Source organism: Homo sapiens, chromosome 6 (genome assembly GCF_000001405.40).
Source record: "Homo sapiens chromosome 6, GRCh38.p14 Primary Assembly".
Taxonomy (NCBI): Eukaryota; Metazoa; Chordata; class Mammalia; order Primates; family Hominidae; genus Homo; species Homo sapiens.
The window spans coordinates 8,740,868-8,765,915 of record NC_000006.12 but is presented as its reverse complement, the minus strand read 5'-3'; the positions used below and the strand labels follow the sequence as shown (position 1 = coordinate 8,765,915).

Genomic DNA, 25,048 nt, shown 5'->3' with positions numbered 1-25,048 from the left:
ATGGCTATGGCTAATCTGGCTATGTATTTAGAGCTTATGAACTGTGCCTGTAGGGCAAGGATGCAAAAAGTTAGGATTTCAGAAAGCCCCCAAGACACACAGCCAAATCTGTAATGTTTAATGAGATCACCTCCAGATGTAACTAACATTAGGAATGTCCAGTTGTGCAATATTATTTCTTTTATTAGCAGGTAATTTAGGCTTCTGAGCAAATTAACAAAATCAGCAGAATAGTCAATATTGAGTTGGGCTATCACTGGTACACTTAAGAAAGAGCTCTTCTGAATTTTAGGAGTTAGCACCTATTCAAAAATAAAGTATAGATTTGTCATTTTTATTTTTTCTTATCCAGTTCCCAGGCACTGGGAGAATGAATGGGATGACAGAAAATAATACAGACCTGAATTTGATAGAACCATGTTTGAAACCCAACTTTGTTGTTTCTAGCTATTATACTTTAGGAAACTCCTCTCAACCATATTTTTCCATCTATAAATTTGGAATCAATATGCAGTCTATAAGATTGCTGTGAAGAACAAAGTAGATAATTGACATGAAAAGGTCAAATACAATACTTGGCATGTGGGAGAGGCTGTTTCAGAAAGCGTGGCCCAAGATTAACTAAAGAAAAAGTGGTGATATGTATAATACTAACAATTGAAATATCTATGGTAACCTTTGTTTCTCCAAAAATGGGATGTTCATAACTCTAAAGAAAAAGTATCAACCCCAGAATTTTGGTTTCTTATTTACAAGGATTTTGAAGGCAGCAGAGCCAAGTTATATAAACTCCTCCAGAGATTTTTGTCTGGTTTTTTAAACTTGTTTATCTGAGACTATATCTGATTGAATTGTCATAATTTTAGATTGTATATTAAACCTGAAGAAATTTAAAATAGATACACTAAAATTCCATTCCAATCTCTAAGTTAGAATCATTCAACACCATCAAGTGCTTGGAACATTCATTTCAACACTTGGCCCCAGCTCAGCAGGGCCTGGACTCGCAATCACCCTAAGCTTTATGAATTAGAGCCAAATAAGGCATTAAAGAATCCCAAATACTCAGTCTTGGGTAAAAAATGGTGGTTATCAGTGTACAAATGTGACTCCATGTATCTCTAACATCTATATTACTTCAGTGAAACAGCAACAATCACATTAATACAAAACACAATCTAGAAATACCTCAATATTTATTAAAACAACACAAACAACAATAAATTTTGTAAGACTTTAGCCATAGCACTTGACATATGATAGAGGTCATGCTCATAAGTAGTTACTTTAGAAACTGTTAATCCCTTTTCGCAACCAGTCACAGGAAAGCCAGTAAGATTCATTAACCATTAAAGCTTCAGCAACTGATTTTACTACACCATTTTCAGAAAGAGCAGGCTGGATAGAATCAGCATAACTAACTTCCTAAGTTAATCCATATATTCAATGCAACAGAATTTTTTCCTAGAACTTGACAACCTTATCTTAATGTTTATACGAAAGAGCTAAAAGGCTACAAATGATCAATTCTATTTTGAAGGCAAAAAGGGTAAGGGATTCATCCTATCAGATACACAATGTTTTAGAAGGACCAGGAGGAAGGGGAGGTAAAAGAGGAAAAACTCATGTAACTATGACAATGTATATTAGTGCAGGGCTAGGGAAACAGAGCAGAGAAACAGAACAAAGTGCCCAAGGATGTTTATATAGAAAATACGATTTAGTATTCAGAATAAAAAAAATCTTACAAATCTATGGACAAAACCCAGTGCAAACATTTCAAACTCTCTTGTTATAAATGAAATGAATATTTAAAACACAATGATCTAACTCTTCACACTCATCAGACTGACCAATATTAAAAGTTACTTAAAAGTGCTAGGATATGGAGAAAGAGAAGAAATTGTCAATAGCTAGTAAAGCTGAAGATGGGTATAACCTACAGCCAAGAATGCCACACTTGGAAAAACCTTCTACATGTGAATGTAAGAAAACATACACAAGAATATTCATTGCATCATTGGCTGTGATTAGGGAATAGACTTAGGAACAAGATGACCTGAACATCAATCCTGGTACCAATCCTTATTAACTCTGTGAATTCAGGCAAGTTACCAACCTCTCTGTGCTGTAGTTTCCTCATGAGTGAAACAGCCTCACAGCTATTGTAAGGATTAAGTGAGTTCATACAAATGGAGCATTAAAAATAGTCTTTAAATTTAATGTTTACTATTGTTTAATTATATTTATTTAACATATACTTGTTATTCCAAGTTTACTAACCTACCACAATAGGAAATGATTCTATTTCCAAATCAGAACTTCATTCTTCCAAGCTACACTAGGTCACATGGAAATCACTGTTCTTCAAGCCTTCAAACCTCATTTCAGCTGCGGAAAAATTTCCTCAACAAAAGCTTAAGCAGAGGAAGGTAATGGGGTCTAGGATAAACCTGATCTTTCAGAAGTCAGCATGACATGGTTAATCTCCATCATGGTACCCAGATTTCAAGGGTTAGTAGAAATAAGCAAAATTAAAGAAAACCAGATGCACCAAATTCTAAACCTAAGAACTGGGGAGACTAGGGAATGCTCACGTTTTTGAAAGGAAGCCCTCTAATTCCAATAAAGTGTAGTTCCCCCACTTTAATTCAAATTACGATTTGGTTTACAACAAATACACACACATACACAGCTTGCTGAAATTTTTTAGAAAATGTACAATGTAATGAAGTGATTTTTGTACTTGAAATCTTTATTTTATAATCACAAAAGTGATAGGAAAATTAAAAATATTAAAAACACAGACTTACAAAGAGTCAAAAAATTAAAAATTATCTTAGCCTCTTTCCTTCACTCTAATGATTTCTTTCCCTGACATTTTATACACACACACACACACACACACACACACATACACACACGCATACCCCACAGGGTATTTTAAAAGCACATGAGATTGCAATATTCATTACATATGCATAAGACCAATTTTAGTTTCATTCTTTCTTATCCATGTGTATATCCAATTATCCCAATATCATTTATTAAATGACTTCCCACTGACTTAAAATGCTATTTTTATTACAGTTGTAGTTTTTTTCCTGGAATCTAGTCTATTCTATTGATCTATTAGTCTATGCCAGTGCCAAAAACCACATAATTTGATTTACTATAGTTTTATATTACATTTTGATGTCTGTAGAAAAAGTTCTCCTTCACTCCTCCTTTAAAATTTTTCTTGGCCATTACTATGGTTTCTTTCCCTCACCTCATCTTTATGATTGACTTACAAAGTTCCATAAAGTATATTCTGGAGATTTAGATTGACACTTCTTTAAATTTATAGATTTATTTGCAAAAATGGGGTATTTTCAATATCCCAAGATACGCTGTAAGAAGAAAAAAGTGGATTACAAAAAATATATACCTTTCTTGAATATTGAATGTCAGAGAAAGGTAATTTTCTAAAGATAGATAAGTGAGGGTACTCATTTTTATTGTGAAATAGGAAGGAAAGGATAAAGTGAAAAATAAAGGCACAAACAATATGACGCATTATAGTTTAACTGATTCGATTTTGAGGCATGTCTCTTTTACCCTGTCTGGACCAAAATTTTCTCATCTGTTAAATAAGAAACTTGGACAGGATGAGGTCTAAGGCCATTTCCAGCTCTATAGTCTAAGATATTCTTACTTTAGACAGGACAAAAGCATGGGCCAAGACACATGCAGCTAAACACCAATCCAGACACACTTTGTGCGTGGCCATGCTTGCACCATATTCTGGGAAGAAAACAGACTTATTGCCCTGCCTACATTTGTGGATTAGTCAGCCAAACTGAAGGAAGGCATTGTCCATCTAATTTTTCACTAGAGAATGTTGAGGCTCAGCAGAATTAAGCAAATTTTCCAAGATCACACAGGTAACAAGTGGCAGAATGTCACTTCAATACTAGATGTGTGATTCCAAGGTTGATTTTGTTCCTGCTGTGTAAAGCAATTCTGAGTGCTTGGTGAGGCAACAATAGAATAAATGGGCAGGTAGATGTCTAAAAATTAAGAGATTAAGGGTATCACATTTCAACTATATATTATCTCCTGACTTCAAAGTAGAAAAATAAGCACTTGCTGAGAAAAAAATAGAACATATTTAGAATTGACCTTTTAAAAATCATCATCGAGACTAGATGTCAGAAGAATTACTTTTAAAAATCAGTGACTTAAGACTGACTTAAACTGACTTCAAGTCTCTAAGGATGAAGACAACAGGAGAAATCATTTTGTACTCTGTTATACCAAATAATACGACCAATAAAATGAGTGTTATCAATATCTTCTACCCTAACTAGCATCTATTGTACTATCTAGCCTATTTATAATAGCACCATGAATGGTAGCTTTTAAAGAATTATTTCCGTAAAACCAATACGTAAAAGAACTATGTTAATAGTAAGAGTTTATATTTACTGTATATGCAGCGTATGCCACGTGTTGTTCAAGTTTTTTACAGATTGCATAGTTAAAGCAGTTTGCACTCTGCCCTTCACCTAGACAGCAGTGTGTGTATTTAAATGCAGGCAACCCAGCCCCCAAACCCGAGATCACTGTGCTCTCACCAAGTAAATTTAATGAACTTCTGGGGAAGAAGAAGAAGAAGAACAAGAAGAAGAGGAAGAGGAAGAAGAAGAGAAACAGGAAGGGGAGGAGAGGGAGGAGGAGGAAGAGGAGGAAGAGAATAGGTCAAGTCACAGTGCACAGTAGGTACTGAATACTCTTCTAAGCTCCTTTAACATATTAACTTCTAACAACCCTTTGAAGTCCAGTCACTGCCTAATTCCTTAGAAGCTGTGTGATATTGGGAGAAGTAACTAACATAACTGAGTTTGACATTAGAAACAAGAATGGTAATACTTAACACAGAGTTTCTGTAAGGTTTAAATGAGTGAATTCATTTGAAAGTATGCAGCACGTAACTGCTCAATAAATGCTTCCGGTTTTTGCCTTTCTGTACAATATTTTCCATGTAATTTCAGAAAATTTCATTGTCCCCATGTAAAAGAGTAACTTCATGGATCTGAATATTTAAGAGCACCAGAGTTTTCAAATTCATAATTCAATCTAAAAAATCTAATTTGTTCGACTCACTTTTACCTCCTTCTTAATAGTTTGTTTAATAGTTCCTTCTCTCCAACACATTAGGCTAAAAAATATGAGTATCTGTACACCCCACCTCTAAAGTCCCTTTCCAAATAGAAAAATACTTATAAATCTGAAATCAAAGTGATCTTGTGAGAAAAAAGAGGATTCTATTACAGTTTACACACAGTTTACACTTATATAATCATCCACTGATGTTAGTTAGGCTCATGCTAGACCAAGAGTCGCAGAATTTTAGGGCTGGAAGAAATCTGACTTACCTGTACAATAGCTGCATTTTACATATAAGAAAAGTAAATTTCAGAGAAGGTAAGTGGGTTGTCTAACATCACTGAATAGCTTGGGAGGCTCGCCAAGGGCCACAGCCCAGTCCTGTGTCCTGTAAGCATCGAATATGTTGACAAATTTAGTTACTTGGGCATGAAGTGCATGTCATCACACCATGCCCTCTCAGCATTGTTGGTACCAGCTGAACAATTATTAGACAGTTGTCATTACCAAGAATAGGTGGTCTTTGGCCTAGAGTTGTACTCAAACATTGTTTTTTGTTTGTTTGTTTGTTTGTTGAGACAGAGTCTTGCTGTGTCACCCAGGCTGGAGTGCAGTGGTGCCATCTGGGCTCTCTGCAACCTCTGCCTCCCGGGTTCAACCAATTCTCGTGCCTCAGCCTCCCTAGTAGCTGAGACTACAGGCGTGCACCACCATGCCTGGCTAATTTTTGTATTTTTAGTAGAGATGGGGTTTTGCCATGTTGGCCAGGCTGATCTCAAACTCCTGACCTCAGGTGATCCACTCACCTCAGCCTCCCAGAGTGCTGGGATTACAGGTGTGAGCCACTGCACCCAGGCTCAAACATTGTTTTGTAAAGTGATAGGCTATCAGATGCAGAGTAAATATCATGTCATTTGTTCCCCTGTGCTGGCAAAAGGAGTTGAGAAGAGCAAATTGTTGTTATCTCTGCCAAAGAGGAGGAGAGACTTATTAAGAGACAGTAGTTCCTAGACATGCCCAGCAGGACATTTTTTTAAAATTATCTATACTTTCACCCACCTCATGATTTTGGAAAATGTGTGGAACAAACTACATAAGTGAATATATCCTTATATCCATTTGGTAGTTCTATGATCCACCAATAATGAGAATGCCTCAAATCTCCCATTTCAAGTTTTCACTTAAAAGTTTGAAGTCTTCAGATGTTTCAATAGTCCAAAGTCTTAAGAAGTTTCGGAAGCTCAAGTTGGGATCTCTGTTCCTATGAATACCTTACGTTAAAAATGGGATCTGACGTTCAAATATGTTTTACCCCATTTTGTGCATAAAAATGTTCAGGCAAACCCAAATACACTAGAACAACACTCTAAGATGAATTTAATATCTTTTTATGTTCTTAACTAAGGTTTTAGGAAAATGTGATTGTTTCTCACCAATTGTAAGATGCAGCATCAGTGAGAAAGACTGAGGCTGAAAATTCAGTTGGCAAACTTTCACAAAGTTTGGAAGTGTGAAGCAGAGCTGTTTGAGCGCAGGAGGTCTTTTAGATGTAGGGAGTATCTGGATTGATCGATTTCAGAGAGAAATAAAAATGAACAATCCCATGTGTGCCTACGGTAGCAAGCATGTCATACACAGTTTCATTTAGTACAGACTGAAGGTCTCAAAGTAGGTATCAATGACCTGATACAATGAGAGACTTTAAGAAACATGTCCAAGGGACAGAAAACTGTGTTTCATATGCTATTGTTTATATTTTTATGTGTTGAAATGAAAGCATGAACCAATATTTTCTTACATTGAAAATGAAAAGACAAACCAGAATTTTTTTAAAAGGACATCTAAAGGTGAAAGGTAGTGGAAACAGGCATAGAAAGATACAGGGGTAGAAGCTAGACCTCTCTGAATATACCTTGCTCTGTAGAATTTACTTTGGAACCACGTAAATAGGTAAATAGTTCACATAATCATAAACCAAAATTAAATGTTAAAAAGTAATTTGTAATATCCAAAGCCAAATAAAATAAGTTAATTTAAATATGTGTCAAATTGACACCAATAGAAAAAGGGGGATTTTTTCAAGTGACTTTAAGACATAGTATATGACTACACATCCCTAGTGCGAGAGATCCTGTGGGCAAATATAACCACGAAAAAAATCTGTTTTTGCTAAGCATAGTGTGAGCGGTAGTATTGGTATTGCTATTCTGAGACTGTTATGCATGGATTATGTAATACGTCAATTAAGTATGTTGGCATTATTGAGAACTGGAATTTTCACTGTGACTTGGAGATATAATATTGAATGAGGGCAGGTAAAAATTCAGAATCCTGAATTTGATTAGGAAAGATCAGTATAAACTTATTATGCATTTTACCTTAGAATTGTTTACCTAGCACAATCTACTGAAAATGCCTAGAAACTATTAGGTAGCAACAAGCACCATTAGTGCCCAACACTATTTTGCACTAAAAGAAACCAGTTTTCTTCTGAGAAATGACTGATACCAAGCCTAGAGCAAGAAATGTGCAAAATGAGCCTGAAATATTTTGTACATTACAAAGAAAGCTACCAAAGACTTTTAAGGGCGTGTCAAGAAAACTCAGGAGCTAACTTGAACAGACTCCTATATTAGCCAAAGAGACTTTTGAGGCATTGATAGGATAATAACTAAATCTGACTGCAATTGGCTTAAGGTGTTGCCAAAGGCATCAGATATATTTAAACAAATGTGTTCTTAACAATACAAAAAGAACTAGTTGGATATCTCTGGAGGATGATGATATGGAACCAACCAATTATTTTGAAAACTATTAAATAAAGAGAAAGACTCAAGCATTTATCCTGCCTTCCTCTTCATACATATTTTTAGTATTCCAATTAATATAAGAATAAATTTCCATTTTAAACATGTAAATTAAATACAATAAGACTTTACATATGAACTAAAATTTGCATTTACCAAACAAAGCTATTACACCTTGCGATTCATATTTTGTTTCAGTCTTTTAACATTTAAGAACAAATAACTTCAAGCGGTTTAACAAAATGACAGAATTGATGGAATTAAAGTAACTTGTGTTCTGTGTATTCCTCTTTACAGTGACACTGATATGATTATTGATTTAGAATTAAGCACAGGACGATGTAGCACCAGAGGGATTGGAGACACAGACTACACCCAGCACAAGCTCTAATGAATCCAAAGTTTTGCGAACTTAGTCTCAAAATTAAAACATTTAGCCCAATTCTCGTGTGTGAAGCCAACTGTGTAACTGGACTTCTCTGAATTTACTTCTATGTAGAATAGCAGGTTTATTAAAGAATACATAATAAAAATGTGTGAAATTGAAGCCAAGATACATATTATTAAAACTCAGCAGTAACCACAGCAATTATTTAGAACTTAGTCCAACAGAAGATTTTCTTTTTCAGAGACATTATTTAGAATTAGCAACCTTAGTAATAATAAAAATATACCAGCTTTTAGTTAGTTTCAATATTGTTTTAAAATTCTCTTTAGGATTCAGATTACTGTGGGCAAAGCACCCCTTATTGCCTGCACCCAGAACAGGCCACTCCCACTGGCTCTACCCACAGTTGTTGCCACTGGATCTGGGCAACTGACTCCAACATCACAAGAGAGACAACCAGACATTATTCACCTACTAACTGAAATATGAGACCTTGTCCAAAAATAGTTCTTGCTAAAAACAGCAAATATAATCCAGCCTCCAGATTCAACTATAAAAGTGCAGGAAGTACAGAGTTCACAGAAATCAACCAGCAAAATCCAGACGGTAGGGAACCCACACAACAAATGACACAGATTTTTCTTTTTCTTTTTCTTTTTCTTTTTTTTTTTTGAGATGGAGTCTCGCTCCGTTGCCCAGGCTGGAGTGCAGTGGCGCCATCTCGGCTCATTGCAAGCTCCGCCACCCGTGTTCACGCCACTCTCCTGCCTCAGCCTCCCGAGTAGCTGGGACTACAGGCGCCCACCACCACGCCCGGCTAATTTTTTTGTATTTTTAGTAGAGACGGGGTTTCACCGTATTAGCCAGGATGGTCTCGATCTCCTGACCTCGTGATCCGCCCGTCTCGACACAGATTTTTCAACAAATATTGCAGAAGGAGAGAGGAGACTTAAGAGATACATCAACTGATGGCAAACTATGGTCTTATTTGAATCTTGATTCAACACTTTTAACAAATTATCTGAGACAATTGAGAAGATATAAACACTGACTAGCTATTTGATGGTATTAAAGCATCATTGTTAATTTTTACATGTGATAACGACATTACTTTTTAAAAAAATTTTAGACAGAGTCTAGTTCTGTCACTCATGCTGGAGTGCAGTGGTGCGATCTCAGCTCACTGCAACCTCCACCTCCTGGGCTTAAACCATCCTCCCATGTCAGCCTCCAAGTAGCTGGGACCACAGGCATACGCCACCATGCCTGGCTAATTTTTGGATTCTTAGTAGAGACAGGGTTTCACTGTATTAGCCAGGCTGGTCTCGAACTCCTAACCTCAAGTGATCTGCCTGCCTCGACTTCCCAAAATGCTGAGATTACAGACGTGAGCCAACACCCCAGACCCTGACATTACTCTTATGTTTAATAAAATAGCTCTTAAATGTTAGTGATAAATACTAGAGAATGATATAATATCTGATATTTGTTTTAAAATTATCTGACAGAATGGCAGCGAGTGCAAGTATAGATGAAACAAGATTACTATGAGTTAGAAACTATTGAAGTTGAGTGTCGTATAAATGGGACCTTATCATTTCACTCCATTTCGTACATACTGTATATGAAATTTTCTATTAGAAAATGTGAAAAAAACATTTCCAAAGATCACAAAGCTGATGGGAGATTTGAATGGTATGCAACTTGATTTCCTTTTATGGCAAGCAGAAGAAAAATTACAGAAATGAGGAAAGGTACTTGTTTCAGGAAGAGCTGAGTTAGCGGGAAAAGACAGGGCAATTAGCCTCACTCTTTACACCTGAGAAGGAACACTTCTTTGAAATGGGAGACATGGAAAGAAGAATATGTGAAGAAATCTGGATACTGGCACATGTATGTTCTACGGAAAGAGACGGAATGTGGGGATCTTGAAGGCCTTGAGCAATTAACAACTTTGCTTCTGAAGAAAAGTGAAAGGGCCTGAGCAGATGGCCTCCAAGTCTCTTTCTCCGCTTACTTCTACCATATTCTCTCACGTCAATGACAGAGAACAGAACCAGTACCTTTTCAATTTGACTTGCTGTTAATAATGAATTTGAAGGCCAGTAATTACTTTCATTGTTAACTGCTTTTTCTCTGTTTCTCACAATATCTGGTAAAATATGCTCTGAGAATCAGTTTTTCATAATTAGAGGTTCCATACTTGACCTGTAAATGATTCTTGTGTACTATTAAAGACTTGAAGTTACTACTTTACTTGGATAGTTGATAAAACCAGGCTTCACATCATTGTCAACTCATGAAATGGAAGGTCATTCTTGCAATAAATTCCAGTAAATTCTGATGGATTTTTCTTATGAGTAGTAGAAGGTGGTAAGGTTGGTTTTGTGGCAGGGATTTCGACCCTCAAATGTGGTCCTTTAGCTGCAAAAATTTAAGAACAGATGAAATATAGCTCTCATGTGGTAATATCTAGGGTGCCTGAGGCAAAGCTCACTGAGAAGATGGCCTGGCCGACTTGAGAATTCTGAATTCATTGCTTTCTATCTACAACAGCCGTGGGAAGCACAGGAAAGGCAGCACTATTTCTGCTCCACCAAAAATGTGTTTTGTAGCACTTCACCCCAGGATCATGGAGCGGAGTACTTATAGAGACTGACACTTCGATCATACATACATTGACACATCACATTGCATCACATCTCCTGAATTGAATTGATGAAGGAAATCAGAAAAGGGTGCCTACATTCAATAATCTGAATTCTTCGGAGACAGCTCAGTACTCTGCAAGTCAAAAGAAGAATAAATTATTACAGAAGACTCTCCAATGCAGCTGCTTCATATTAAACACTGTCAAATAACTCCCAACTTTCTTTGATCTGAATGAATTCTCCATATTACTTTGGTGACCTTTAGCACATCTCTTTTTGACTTCCATTCTTTCCTCTTTTATTCTATTTCTGCCTATAAATGTTCATTCCTCATTTTCACTATGTAGCATATATAAACTTATGTATCATATAACTGTGTGTATGTGTATATATATATATATATATATATAGAGAGAGAGAGAGAGAGAGAGAGAGAGAGAGAGAGAGAGATAAGATGTTCAGTTGCTTTTATTTTATGAATGGATAAAAAAACAGTAAGTGTTGTAGTAACTTAAAAAAATGATAAAGACACAAGAAGTTAAATAATCTAGCAAGAAATAAAACCATAATGCCCTGGGCTGCTGGAGTATTCTCCCTCTGATGATTTAAGGCATAAAAAAGACAAATCACACAAATTCTGTATCTAATGACTTTTTATGTTTTTCCTAGGAGTAACAGTAATGATTTCAAAACTTTGGAAGAAAAGAATCAACAAAATGTTGAGGAAGACAAAAGAGTACATAATGAAAATAAAAGCTATGTTCTTTGGGGAAAAAAATTGAAAGGTTGTAAATAGAGGAATAAGAAAATGGAGAAAACTGAAATTCCACAGGCAAAGTGTCTTCTATTATTTCATCTTTAAGACAGAATATAAAGCAAATAAACAAAACATCAATAGGGCAAAAAATATATTTATTATATTATAGGTTTATTTTTTATAAATTTATCATAATAAATCTATGGCTACAGAATAATAAGAACAGTATTACTTATTGTGTACATACTAAGTTCCATGTTTTAACAGTTATAGTGTATAGATAACTTAAAAACTACAGATTAGAATAAGCAAAAACTGTGTGCTTTGAAACTTTTCGTTTCAAAATAAATTAAAAGATATAAGCAGTTTAGGCTGGGCGTGGTGGCTCATGCCTGTAATCCCAGCACTTTGGGAGGCCGAGGTGGGTGGATCTCTTGTGGTCGGGAGTTCAAGACCAACATGACGGAACCCTGTCTCTACTAAAAAATATAAAAATTAGCTGGGCATGGTGGTGCATGCCTGTAACCCCAGCTACTTGGGAGGCTGAGGCAGGAGGATCATTTGAACCCCTGAGACAGAGGTTGCAGTGAGCCAAGATCACACCACTGCACTCCAGCTTGGGTGACAGAGAGAGACTCCATCTCAAAACAAACAAAAGATATAAGCAGTGTAAGCAGTTTAAAACTTTCCCAAGGTTTGCCTTTTCTTAAATAATTCTAACAAGCTAGACAACTTTTCTGGAGGGGAGAATAAATTTCTGTTTGAAATGAACTCAATAGTAACATTCTTTGAACACATGCTTTTACATTATTTATGTGCCAAAGTAAGTTATAAAGACTAATTCACGTTTGGCCATGTATTACAAAATAATAATAAAATATACTAGAACATAGAACTGCTAATGAATCACTTATAGAACAGTAAATATAATACACCTGTACATCCAGAATCAAATTCTTCTTTTTAGGGGGACCATTACAAAGACTGTTTTTGTCCCTATCTTCGTATCACCTATCGAAGCTAAAACATTTCTTAAAGAATTTGATTCTTTGTTAAATGTAGATAGGTGACCTCCTAACAGCACCTAATATACAGAGTTACTATTCCATGGAATCACCTGTCCTTCAGTCAGTACAACTCTGAAATGCTCTGTCATACTTGCTGGAAATGGCACACATAAACAATTACATATAATCTTAGTACATTTTGAAAAAATAAGTTAATATAATACTCTCGATCAATCCCAAATAAATGCATTTTATTTTCCCTCTCACCACCACTTACTTATTATCCAATAGTTTAAAATGCAGACCAAACTTACTTTACAGACAGTATTGAGTTTTGAACAAACCATTTAGTTTATCTTGGGATGATGTAAGAATTTTAATTAGTTAATGATTACAAATCACTTTAGATCCTTAGAGTAAAGAAGTTATAGGATGATAAAGTGTTTGTATCATTGCAAAATTGTGAGTATAACATTGCATTAATTATGACTTTACATGGACTATAACTTTGAGGCATTTAACTCTGGAGATAATTTCAAGTGTTGACAGTCTTCTTGGAAGTTATGCAAAACTGTGTTGCTAGACCATGGTTGCTATGCTATGGGTTTTATCAATTTATGCTGTCCCTGTTTGGTATAAATCTCTAAATTTTTTTAAACCAAGGCTACTTTCTGCTATAGGGTGTATTATTCGACAAATTATTTTCACTCAAATTTATTCTTTGTACAATTCAATAGGATTCTGTCATTGGAACTAACTCAGAGATTAATTAGATTGCCCCATCAGTTTTATATCTTTTGCTAGCACTATTTACATGTTTCTCATATTTAAAATTAATAGCTTTATTTACCTACAAAGTCAATGACATGAACACATAAGTTAAGTGGCTTAGAACTAAACTATTATCATCAATTAGAAATACTTGTTGAGGTGGAGCCGTAGCTCACGCCTGTAATACCAATACTTTGGGAGGCTGAGGCAAGCAGATCACTTGAGGCCAGGAGCTTGGGTCCAGCCTGGCCAACATGCGAAAGCCCATCTCTACTAAAAGTACAAAAATCAGTCAGGCGTGGTGGCACATGCCTGTAATCCCAGCCACTTGGGAGGCTGAAGCAGGAGAATCACTTGAAGCTGGGAGGCGGAGGTTGCAGTGAGCCAAGATGGTGCCACTGCACTCCAGCCTGGGCCAAAGAGACTCTGAGAAAGAAAAGAAAGAAAGAGAGAAAGGGAGAAAGGGGGAAAGGGAGAAAGGGGGAGAGAGAGAGAGAGAGGGAAGGAGGGAGGGAGGGAGGGAAGGAAGGAAGGAAAGAAAGAGAGAGAGAGAAAGAAGGAAAGAAAGAAAGAAAGAAAAAGAAAGAAAGAAATAAAGAAAGAAAGAAAGAAAGAAAGAAAGAGAAAGACTTGTTGAAGTTATACAAATCTTTTCTTCTAGCTTTATTGATTAAAATTCTTTTAGTGTCTTCCCATTCCAGTAGAAAAAAAGTGTTGGTGTAAGAGAGTTTTTATTCTTGGGACTCAACCTATCTTCAACTTCTGATGCTTTTCGATTTTACCACTTCTGTTTAACTCACACAGGTCCACATGTACACACACACACACGCGCACGCGCGCGCGCGCACACACACACACACACACACACACACACTGTGTTTCAAGAACATGGATGGCCCGCGTTCCTTTGAATACCTAAAAACTGCCTTCCTCCTTTGTATCCATCTGAAAATATTCTTTTTATGCTGTTCAAGTATCTTTTTATGCTGTTCAAATAGTTGACTTTTGCAAAGACTTCTTCAACATCCAAAAATAATCCATTAATTCTTCTCATATTGATTCTTAATAAAATATCATTTTTGGTTTCTACTATGTCTACATGTACCATTAATTTATGGGATCTTGAAGAAAAAGAAAAAAGATAAAATGAATAATTTTTATATCAATCCAACTTTGAAATAAGTATTTTTTCTCCCCATTTTTCCTGTGATAAAACTGGGTAATATCAAGGTCAAGTAATAGCCAAGGTCATATGGCTACTAAGTGGCAGAGTCAGAATCTTGACCCCAAATTCATCCAACTCTAAAGCCTATTACCTTCCACTGTGTGAACAAGACTGTGTCTTAGTTCATTTTGAGCTCAAGTTCCTTACACCATGCCTGGAAAACAACATTAAATTAGTAAATGAATAGAGGTATAGATGACTAAAACTCACAGGACATGAATTCGACTACTTAAGTGGTAGGGATGAAACGCTTGATGAACAAGATGAGAACACCACAGCGACCTCCAGCATGTAATCCCTGCTTTTTACCAGCCCCAGCCCTGTACTGAGTGATAGCATAATGATGTCACTCATCTCCGGGAGACCTGCTCCAGCCATCTGCCATCATGGGGACTTTTGGCATATACAGGGTGGTCATTGTTTCTCACATCACTGCTATTTTGGCAACACTCAATGTTTTGGACTTCCTTTTCTCCAAATGTACATATTTTATACATATTCCACCATTTTATAACTACTTTTTTAAAAGGCAATATAATATTATGTAAAAAAAGCATAGATAATGATTCCTTGATCCTAGCTCTGCCTACCTGTCCCTGGTTGAATGATCTTGGACAGATTGCTTAACATTTCTATATGTCCTTTCACTCATATGTAAAGTGAGATAAATAATACCTACTTCAGAAGGTCGTTGAGAGAATTCTATGGAGAAATGCACAAAAATTGCCCAGTACGGTCCCTGAGATAAAGCAGACCTTCCTTGAATATTAGTCTTTCCCCAGTAACCCTAAGAACACTCCTTGACTGTGTCTAATACTCAAGATCATGCTTGCTGTCACATCGCTCTGTTTCCTACTGCAGGCTGGGTGCAGTACCTGAGCAAATTCAGTGTTGTGATCATGAGTAGCTGCCACAGAGAAGGATGGGTAAAAGAGAGTGGACACGTTGATTAAAGATAGAGTGCAAAGAGAGGCCTGACCAGTTTACATTGGCTCGTTTGTTTCAACAGACCTGGTTCTCTTAAGACAGTGTCTGTGTAAGATTAATAACTTTTACTTACCTAAAGGAGGCAAAAATAGTTTAAATGAAGAATTCCCAAATGAAGGCACTGCTTATCACATTATCATTCCCCTAGGGAGACTACATCCTCCCTAGAATTCATTTCTTGATCATGTCTATTAAGAAGAAAAATAATAAATCTTCCAGATGCAAATAAACTATTGTTCAGTGTTCACTTCGTTCCCAAACACCCCAAAGTCAAGCTACTCCAGTTTATGGTTTACTTTCTCCACTTTCTTCTTTATGCATTCAAATTGACAAATGCCCTTGTACATTATTTTTAACCTGCCCATATCTAATGCATCAGTATCTTGTTATGTTTCCCTTGATTTCATTGCTTGCAATGCTGGTATCAGCAGCACAGAATTGCCAAAGCACTAAGCAGCCCAATTTTTCTTTAATTTCTCAGGAAATTGACAGTTTTATGAACTGTCTCTTTACCTATGCCCCATAAACATGTCAGGCTGTGGAAAACCATTCTAATTAAATCCCAGGGGACCGCAATGGAAGATTATAGCTTCTTGGCAGGTTATTAAAAAACAGTTGTTCATATATACACAAGTATGTGTACTGGAGCCTAACATTTGACAGAACAGTCAAGGAATTAACCCCACTACCAGCTTCAGCTCCAACCCACTGAAGAGAAATGAGCAAAGTGAGTGAAAGAAGAAGACTGCCCTATTCAGTCTTTTATTTTTATATCCTTAGTGGGTTCCTATAGATCACCAGATAGTTTAAAAGGTGTCTGAGGTCTCCACCTTCCTCAATGGATTTTATATACCTGCTAGAGCGAACATATACAACTACTATTTTTCGAATGAGTAATTTCTGACACCAGGATGCACATGAAATACATCTCATCAAGCTGGTGGAAAAACAAATAAAATAAAAAGAGTTTTCCTCTCTCAGAAATTCAGAATGGAAACATCTGGTACATAGAAAGTCAAATTTAGGGAAAAAAGATAACTGTCATTTGTGAAATTGTTTTTCAATAGCATATTTATTCTTGCCAGATGAACCACCCATTGTAACTGGATAGGTAAATATTGCAACCTGATTGGTGACGGCCATTTCTTGAGTGGTTAAATTAAAATCCAATGTCAAGAGGAATGATCTGAAAGGTTGCCTGCAGGATATATGATTCATAGAAAAAGAGTATGACATTTAATTAATTAGTTTAATTGGAAATTGTGTACTAGCTAAATAATGATTCTACCTGACATATTCAAGAGTCGTTAAAGTGTGATCCTGAAAATATATCTTCCCATTTCCCAATGAGAAACAGCCTGGTGGTTATGACATCTTGCTCCTAAGATTGGTGTTCATACTCAGCCTCTCACAGGGACAGTTCCGCTTTCTCTCTTCCATAGCTATGGAGTGTACCAAAATTTTCTGGCAACTATATGAAAAATATAGTTTTGGCCATGGTCTAAAGGAAAATTGAGTTGAGAAATTACTGTTGCCTCATTGCAAATCCAGCATCACTACTGTACAACCAGCCCACATGCCTTTCCTCAGAATAAAGATCAAGTGGTGCCAGCTTTGTAAATAAAAATCTTCCTGTATGTCACCTAGAATCCAAGCCAGTTGCCAATCGAATAGACTAAAATAAACTTGAGACTACTCATTAATCAGGTCCTATGTGATAATGAACACAATAGCATCTTGAAAACCATATGAGAAAATGGGCCCAGTACTTGGAAAATTTAATTGGTTTGGCCTATATTTTTCTGTTGTCTGTTTTTTTCTTCTATCTCTTTTGACACTTATTTCCTCTTACTTCCATCCTCATATCCCCTATGTTTTCCAGAATGCTTTTCCTCTGCCTACAAATATGCTCAATTCTCCTTTAACCAAATATAAAAGTCTTTCCTTGAACCTACTTCATCCTAAAGCCTCTATTTCTTCCTTCCCTTCACTGAAAAAAAAAAATCTTGCAAAACTACCTGTTCTAATTCTAGTTTCTCATCTGCTCAGCTGGCTACCTCTCCATCACTTCCAAACTGTGCTTAAGAACCTCATGCTCCTATTGAAAAGTGGCACCCAAGGATGACTAAAGAATATTCAGCCATGTGATGATCTCTCTCCACTCTGGACATGGTTTAGCTTATTCATTTCATGTCCTGGGAATCCGCTTGTGTCTGCCTTGTCTGTAGCTCTTGACCACCTATTAGCATCCTGAATCTGGCCTTTGGGCACTGCTCATGTCTAGTTAACGGCTCCCCTATGATAAACCATTCCAGGTGCATCATCTCTCAGGTCCTGTTTGGCTACAAGGTTTTCCAACTTCAACCTCTTAACTCTCCTAACTCAGGTACAGAGTTTCTGGTCAGTGGTCAGTCCCATGATTAAGGTATTCTATCCATATCACATTCTTTATTGAGTTAATAAGTGCATAACTGCAACCTAAGATTTATTCTTTCCCAATTTCCTCTTTTATTCAATCTTTCAATTGAGTACTGGTTCATCCTCGAGAACCTCTCTTCTTAGTTTGCATGTTACCAAACTATCTTGACTGTTTCTAACTCTATGAAATCTCTCTCTTAATCCTGTTCAGCAATACCTCATAGTCTTTCTTCCCCTTAATGATAAAGATTATGCAAGATTATCTAATAAGCCATCTTTGTCTCTTTCTGTACAATCTCCCAAATTAATATGCTGTTCTATGGATTTGTTGCAGTCTCAATATCAAAAACTACCAAATCTCTCTCTCTTTTCTCCCTTCAGCTTCAGACTTCAGTTTCCCATTGGTCTTTGGCCATTAATATTTGGATGCCTACCTAACTTAATATCTTCCAAATGAAAGTGTCCCCACAAGCCCAGTTATTCTTCCTTGTCTTTCAAAAGTCCATTGAAAACTATTTTCTCAGACTCCAAAGTTTCATTAGTATTTTTGACTACTAATTTTTACCAAGTAGCCAAATATTGTGTCTTTTACCTCTAAAAAATCTCACACATCTAACCAATCTTGCCCAATTCCCCTGCAATTTTTGTCAACTTTCAAATTTATTGCAATAATCTGTAATTGATTTATTTGCAACATCTTCTCATCAAACATACTATCTTTAAATCTTCCTTGCTAAAATTTAATTGCAATCAAGTCTTCCATGTGTTTAAAAAAGTTAAATAACAATTATAAGATAATTTATTATTGCCAAAAATGTTTAGAACCAATTCCCCATCCTTACACTCTGCCTTCAATCGCCTACTCTCCACCTCCTTACTCCAATTACAGCCAGACTCACAGAAGCATTTCCCTATCTCAACCAACCATATGTATAAACGCCTTCACTATTTACTTACATTCTTTCCTCTGCCTTTCAAAGTTTCCTTGACTATCTACATTTTTAAAATATATATGTATTTTTTTGCCATGTTGCCATGATGATTCCAAGTCTAGGGCAAGAAATATTTAAGATGAACACAGACCAGACATCTTGATCAGAGAGCAACAAAGCTGTGAAAGATTACTAGGGTCCCATTAGGGGATGGAAGCAACCGAAAGAATTCCCACTTGCCAAAGATTGGGCTCTGCTTGCCAAAAAGGGTAATATCTAAAAACTATCACAGCACATTAAATTTATTAAAAAGTCATGAGTTTATAATGACCTTTTAAAATATCATAAGAAAATAGTTCCCATCCTTTGAGGTCTATTTCTAACGGAACCTTGTTCACATATTGGTTTTTGATTCCTTCAAATGAATTGATCAGCTCCGTCTTTTGAATTTTTATAACATTTCACTCTTACTACTAATATTCTATTTATATTAATCTACATGCATCTAATAATATGAAAAACAGGTGATTCATAAAATCACCTTTAGGGTCAAGATTGCATTTAAGATGCATAGAAGTGTTTTTTGAATGCTAGGTGACTTATTCTTCCACCCCAACAGTTCTAGTAAGAACCAATGTCTTACAAAACTAAAAATTTTAAGTATTCTCTTTTTGTTTATTTTCATCATTTTAAAGTTAAATTTACTCAACTTAATACCTATAACTTTTTTGTCTGTTACTTCAAATGCTCTGGCAAATAAAGTTATTATAAGAAAAGGGGAATCGTATATTAGTAGCCTGTTACACTGCAACTGTCCCTTTTATTGATATTCAATAAAGATTGTTAGGGAACCGAGTATAAGAAATCACTATTTCCATATTTGTAATGAATAAAAAAAAATAGGCCTGGTATCGTGGCTTGAGCCTGTAATCTCAGCACTTTGGGAGGCTGAGGAGGGTGGATCTCTTGACGTCAGAAGTTTGAGACTAGCCTGGCCAACATGGGGAAACCCTGTCTCTACTAAAAATACAAAAATTAGCCAAGGATGGTGGCTCATGCCTGTAATCCCAGCTACTCGGGAGGCTGAGGCAGGAGAATCACTTGAACCCAGGAGGCAGAGATTACAGTGAGCCAAGATTGCAACACTACACTTCAGCCTGGGTGACACAGCAAGACTCTGTCTTAAAAAATAAAAATAAAATAAAATAAAATAACAGAGGAACAGAATAATTTGAAACATTTTAAGAAACTAAGATTCTTATATCTGGTTTATTATTAGAAAATAATAAATGAAAACAGTTTAGTTTAGTTTATTTCCATTATAATTACTACAAAGATTGTAAAACATTGTTTTCAGCACTTTAGTGGGCTTTGAGAAGTGATTAAACTTGCAAGTAACACTGAGAAACGTAGCACCTTGCAACCATGCAGCCAAGCTGGTGGACTAGCAACATGGCCATTGCCTGTGAGATTTTTAGCTATGTAGAACCCCAAGACCCACTCCAGAATGACTTAATCATCATCTGCATGTTAACAAGACTCCAGGTGGTTCCCGTGCATATTAAAGTTTGAGAAGCACTGATGCAGCACACTGCAGGTGACGAACACACCTACTGCCTATTGAAATCTGTCTTTCAAGCTAGGATCACTAGTCAAGGATTGAAGGCAGTCCTCTTAATTAACAAGAACTAATTTCTACATAATTTCTACATGATATATCTTTTAAAATGAGGATTAGTCTTGCCATTATTCTTGGGAATTTTACTGTGTATGCAATGATCCATGGAACTCTCTGGACTTCCAGTATCTTGACCTTTTTAATTCCAAATTTTCTTTCAGTCCCCTTCTGTGCCTCGTTTCAGGGGTTTGACTCTAGACCCAGGATCAGTACGTAGAGCTACAAACTCTTTCCTAACACTAGATGTCCCTCCCTCTTTAACTTATTCTGTAAAGAGCTACCAAAGAATTCTTTGTAAATGCTGTGATATTTTATCACGATTACTCTCTCTTCTACTATTTGTAATGACCTCTTTAATAGCACCTACCAAATTGTTTGGTAATTTTTGGGTCTCGATGTTGATTCACTCCTCCCAATCTCCAACCCTTACAGTGTGTGAGATGATTCCCTATCATCTCTGTGACATAAATGACTAGCCCAGTTCCTGTCTCAAAGCAGGCACATACTAAATATTGGTTGAAGAACAGACACTGTCAGAAGGTTTTTCTCAGCTTTCAAGAACCTTCACACACAGCCATTTGGACTAAATATGAGTACCTTCACTTTGCAAATGAGGAAACTCATGGCCATGACTTGCCAAAAATCCAAAGATTGGAAATGGAATGAGCAACAAAGCTGTCTTTGACTATTCTGTGATGCTATAGCAGAATGCCTGAGACTGAATAATTTACACTGAACAGGTATTTACTGCCTCACAGTTCTAGAGGCTGAGAAGTCCAAGATCAAGGGGCCAGCATCTCACAAGCTCCCTCTTACTGTGTCATCCCATGGACGAAGGGCAAAGAGAAGGTGAGAGACAGAAAGAGATCTAAACAGTAGCCTCAAGCCCTTTTATAACAGCATTAATCTACTCACGAGGGTTCCACTTCACCTAAACTCCTCCGAACACTGTTGCATTAGGGATTAAGTTTCCAACACTTCCTTCATAGGGAACACATTCAAGGTAGGTAAAAACTCAAGTTTTCTGCTTCTATTAAGCATTTATGCATGGATTTTCATTTTAGTAGGATGTTTTTCCTGTTTAAAGTTATCAAAATAATTTAGTAGGATGTTTGCCAATTTTACATTTTAAGTCTTGCCACAATCCACCTTTTCTTGTTCATCCACTGGTAAGAGTGCACTTTCTCTTTTATATTCAGGTAAATCTGCTCACCGACCCACTCACCTCATGTCTCTTCCTTCCTCAATACCTATGTTCATTCAGTTGTTCTACAAGAAATGCTTTAATCCTTAAATAAATCCAACTCATCATTTAAAAGCTAGTTAATACAATCTCTAAAATTCTGTTTCAATGTTACTCAATACTGCATAATTTTGCATAGCTTCAATTTTCAAAATTACAATTATCTTGATTTAGTTAAATAAAATCAATTCCCCCAACAACATGGTTCCAATTTCAGCTACCATGGCATATTAACTGTGAGTAATTGCACGAAGAAAAACCATGCTGCTAACTCTAGTTCAAGTTTAGTTAAAGATCTACATCACGATCAGTGCACAACCATGTCACTTCCTCCAGAGTCTGCTGGTAATTGGTCACTGTGCCTCTGTTACCAGTTCACACAGAGACAGCAAGGTGGGTAGCTGTGTTGACTCTTAATCTCTCACCAATCACTCCAAGTAACATTTTACAAATGTGGATTATCAAAAGAGAAAATTAGTCAACCTACGTGACAATGTAACAAAAAATGAAAAGTGGTAATATTGAAAATGAAAGTAGGATCAGCGGTAACAGAGTCCTAGAAGAAATAGCTGATCGTGGAATGCTGATGCTGCCACCCTTCTGGAGATTCTAGATGTGCAGCCAGAGGAACTTAGTGAGGGCAAACTTACTGACAAAAGAAGAATGTGGTTGTGATGAAAAGGATGAACATGCTGACAAAACAAAGCAAAAGAAAACAACTTCACAGATAATTCATGGCATTGAAAATGCAAAGGATAAAATGTCAGAAGCTGACCCAAACTGAGAAAAGAGCATGAAAATTTGCCAAGGCATAGAGAACATGAGCTCTCCATAGTAGAAGCTATACAAAAAGAACAAAGGCAAGCACTGTTCAAGCAACTCTAGATACATTTTTAATTAAAAAATCTTTAATTCTTAATGTAATTTAATATTTAAATTACACCACAGTAAGTAAATATTAGCTTTACTATTTTTATTTCATTTGCAAATGCTTATAATCAACAACACAATAATTCTTTTTTTTAATTTCAACTTTAATTTTAGATTCAGGGTGTACATATATAGGTTAGTTACATGGTATATTGTGTGATACTAGGGTTTGGGGTATGGATCTCGTCACCCAGGTAGCAAGCATGGTACCCAATAGGTAGTTTTTCAACCCACGCCTCCTCTCTTCCTCCCCTTTCTGTTAGTCCACAGTGTCTATTGTTTTCATATTTGTTTCCATATGTGCTCAATATTTAACTTCTACTTATATGTGAGAATGTGCAATATTTGGTTTTCTATTCCTGTATTAATTTTAGGATTATGACTTCCAGCTCCATCCATATTACTTCAAAGGACATGACTTTATTCTTTTTTATGGCTGCATAGTATTTCATGGTGTATATATACCACATTTTCTTTTTCTAATCCACCAGTGATGGACGCCTAGGTTGATTCCATGTCTTTGCTGTTGTGAATTGCACAGCAGAGTACATATGAGTACATTTGTCTTTTTGGTAGGATGATTTCTTTTCCAGTGGGATTGCTGGGTTGAATTGTGGCTCTGTTTTAAGCTCTTTGAGAAGTCTCCAAATTGCTTTCCACAGTGGTCGATTTACATTCCTATCAACAGTACATAAGTGTACCCTTTTCTCCACAGTCTTATCAGCATCCATTATTATTATTATTTTTTTTACTTTTTAGTAATAGCCATTTTGACTGGTGTGAGATGGTATCTCAATGCGGTTTTGATTTGCATTTCTCTGATGATTAGTAATGATGAGCATTTTTTCATATGTCTGTTGGCCACTCAAATGTCTTCTTTTGAGAAGTTTCTATTAATGTCTTTTGTCCATTTTTTAATGAGGTTATTTGTTTTTTGCTTGTTGAATTGTTAAGTTGCTTCTAGATCCTGGATATTAGACCTTTGTTGGACGAATAGTTTGTGAATATTTTCTCCCATTCTGTAAGTTCTCTGTTTACTCTGTTGATAATTTCTTTTGCTGTGCAGAAGTTCTCCAGTTTAATTAGCTCTCACTTGTCAATTTTTGTTTTCGTTCCAGTTGCTTTTGGGGACTTAGCCAAAAATTCTTTACCAAGGCCAATATCGAGAAGGGTATTTCCTAGGGTTTTTCTAGGATTTTTATAGTTTTAGGTCTTACATTTAAATATTTAACCCATCTTGAGTTAATTTTTGTATATGGTGAGAGGTAGGGTCCAGTTTCATTTTGCATATGGCTAGCTAGTTATTCCAGTACCATTTATTGAGTAGGGAGTCCTTTCCCCATTGCTTGTTTTTGTCAGCCTTGTCGAAGATCAGATGGTTGTAGATGTGCAGCTTTATTTCTGAGTTTTGTATTCTGTTCCATTTGATCCATGTGTCTGTTTTGTACCAGTACCATGCTGTTTTGATTACTGTAGGCTCATAGTATAGTTTGAAGTCAGGTAGTGTGATGTTCCAGCTTTGTTCTTTTTGCTTAAAAATGCTTTGGCTATTTGGGCTATTTTGTGGTTCTGTATGAATTTTAGACTAATTTTTTCTAGGCCTGTGAAAAATAATGTTGGTAGTTTGATAGAAATAATGTTGAATCTGTAAACTGCTTTGGGCAATGTGGCCATTTTAATGATATTAATTCTTCCAACTCGTGATCATGGAATTTTTTTACTTACTTATTTGTGTCATCTCTGATTTCTTCAAGTGATGTTTTGTAGTTCTCTTTGTAGAGATCTTTCACCTCCTTGGTTAGCTGTATACCTAGGTATTTCATTTTCTTTTTGTCTATTGTAAATGGAATTGTGCTCTTGATTTGACTCTCAGCCTGGACATTATTGGTGTATACAAATGCTACTAATTTTTGTACATTGATTTTGTATCCTCAAACTTTATTAAAGACATTTATCAGTTCTAGGAGCCTTTTGGTGCAGTCTTCAGGGTTTTCTAGGTGTGGAATCATATCATCAGTGAAGAGAGATAGTTTGACTTCTTCTTTTTCCTATTTAGCTGCCTTTTATTTATTTCTCTTTCCCAGTTGCTCTGGGTAGGACTTC

At 36.2% G+C, this 25,048-nt stretch overlaps 1 long non-coding RNA gene across 1 annotated transcript in view, besides 2 other annotated features; it reads right to left on the bottom strand.

Moving 5' to 3' along the window:
- The window catches only part of LOC100506207 (uncharacterized), a 349,823-nt gene that overhangs the window by 19,530 nt on the left and 305,245 nt on the right, over window positions 1–25,048 (bottom strand). The window lies entirely within an intron of this gene.
- Window positions 3,719–3,888: an enhancer, noted in NCBI's record as "experimental_96779 CRE fragment used in MPRA reporter constructs". NCBI's record gives its function as "activates a minimal promoter by MPRAs in K562 erythroleukemia cells, with activity observed for the non-introgressed 6:8762346 or rs7773191 variant allele {active_cell/tissue: K562}" and the evidence as "EXISTENCE:reporter gene assay evidence [ECO:0000049][PMID:34662402]".
- Window position 3,803: a transcriptional cis regulatory region, noted in NCBI's record as "Neanderthal adaptively introgressed variant 6:8762346 (GRCh37/hg19 assembly coordinates) or rs7773191 in the experimental_96779 CRE". NCBI's record gives its function as "modulates activity of the experimental_96779 enhancer by MPRAs in K562 erythroleukemia cells {active_cell/tissue: K562}" and the evidence as "EXISTENCE:reporter gene assay evidence [ECO:0000049][PMID:34662402]".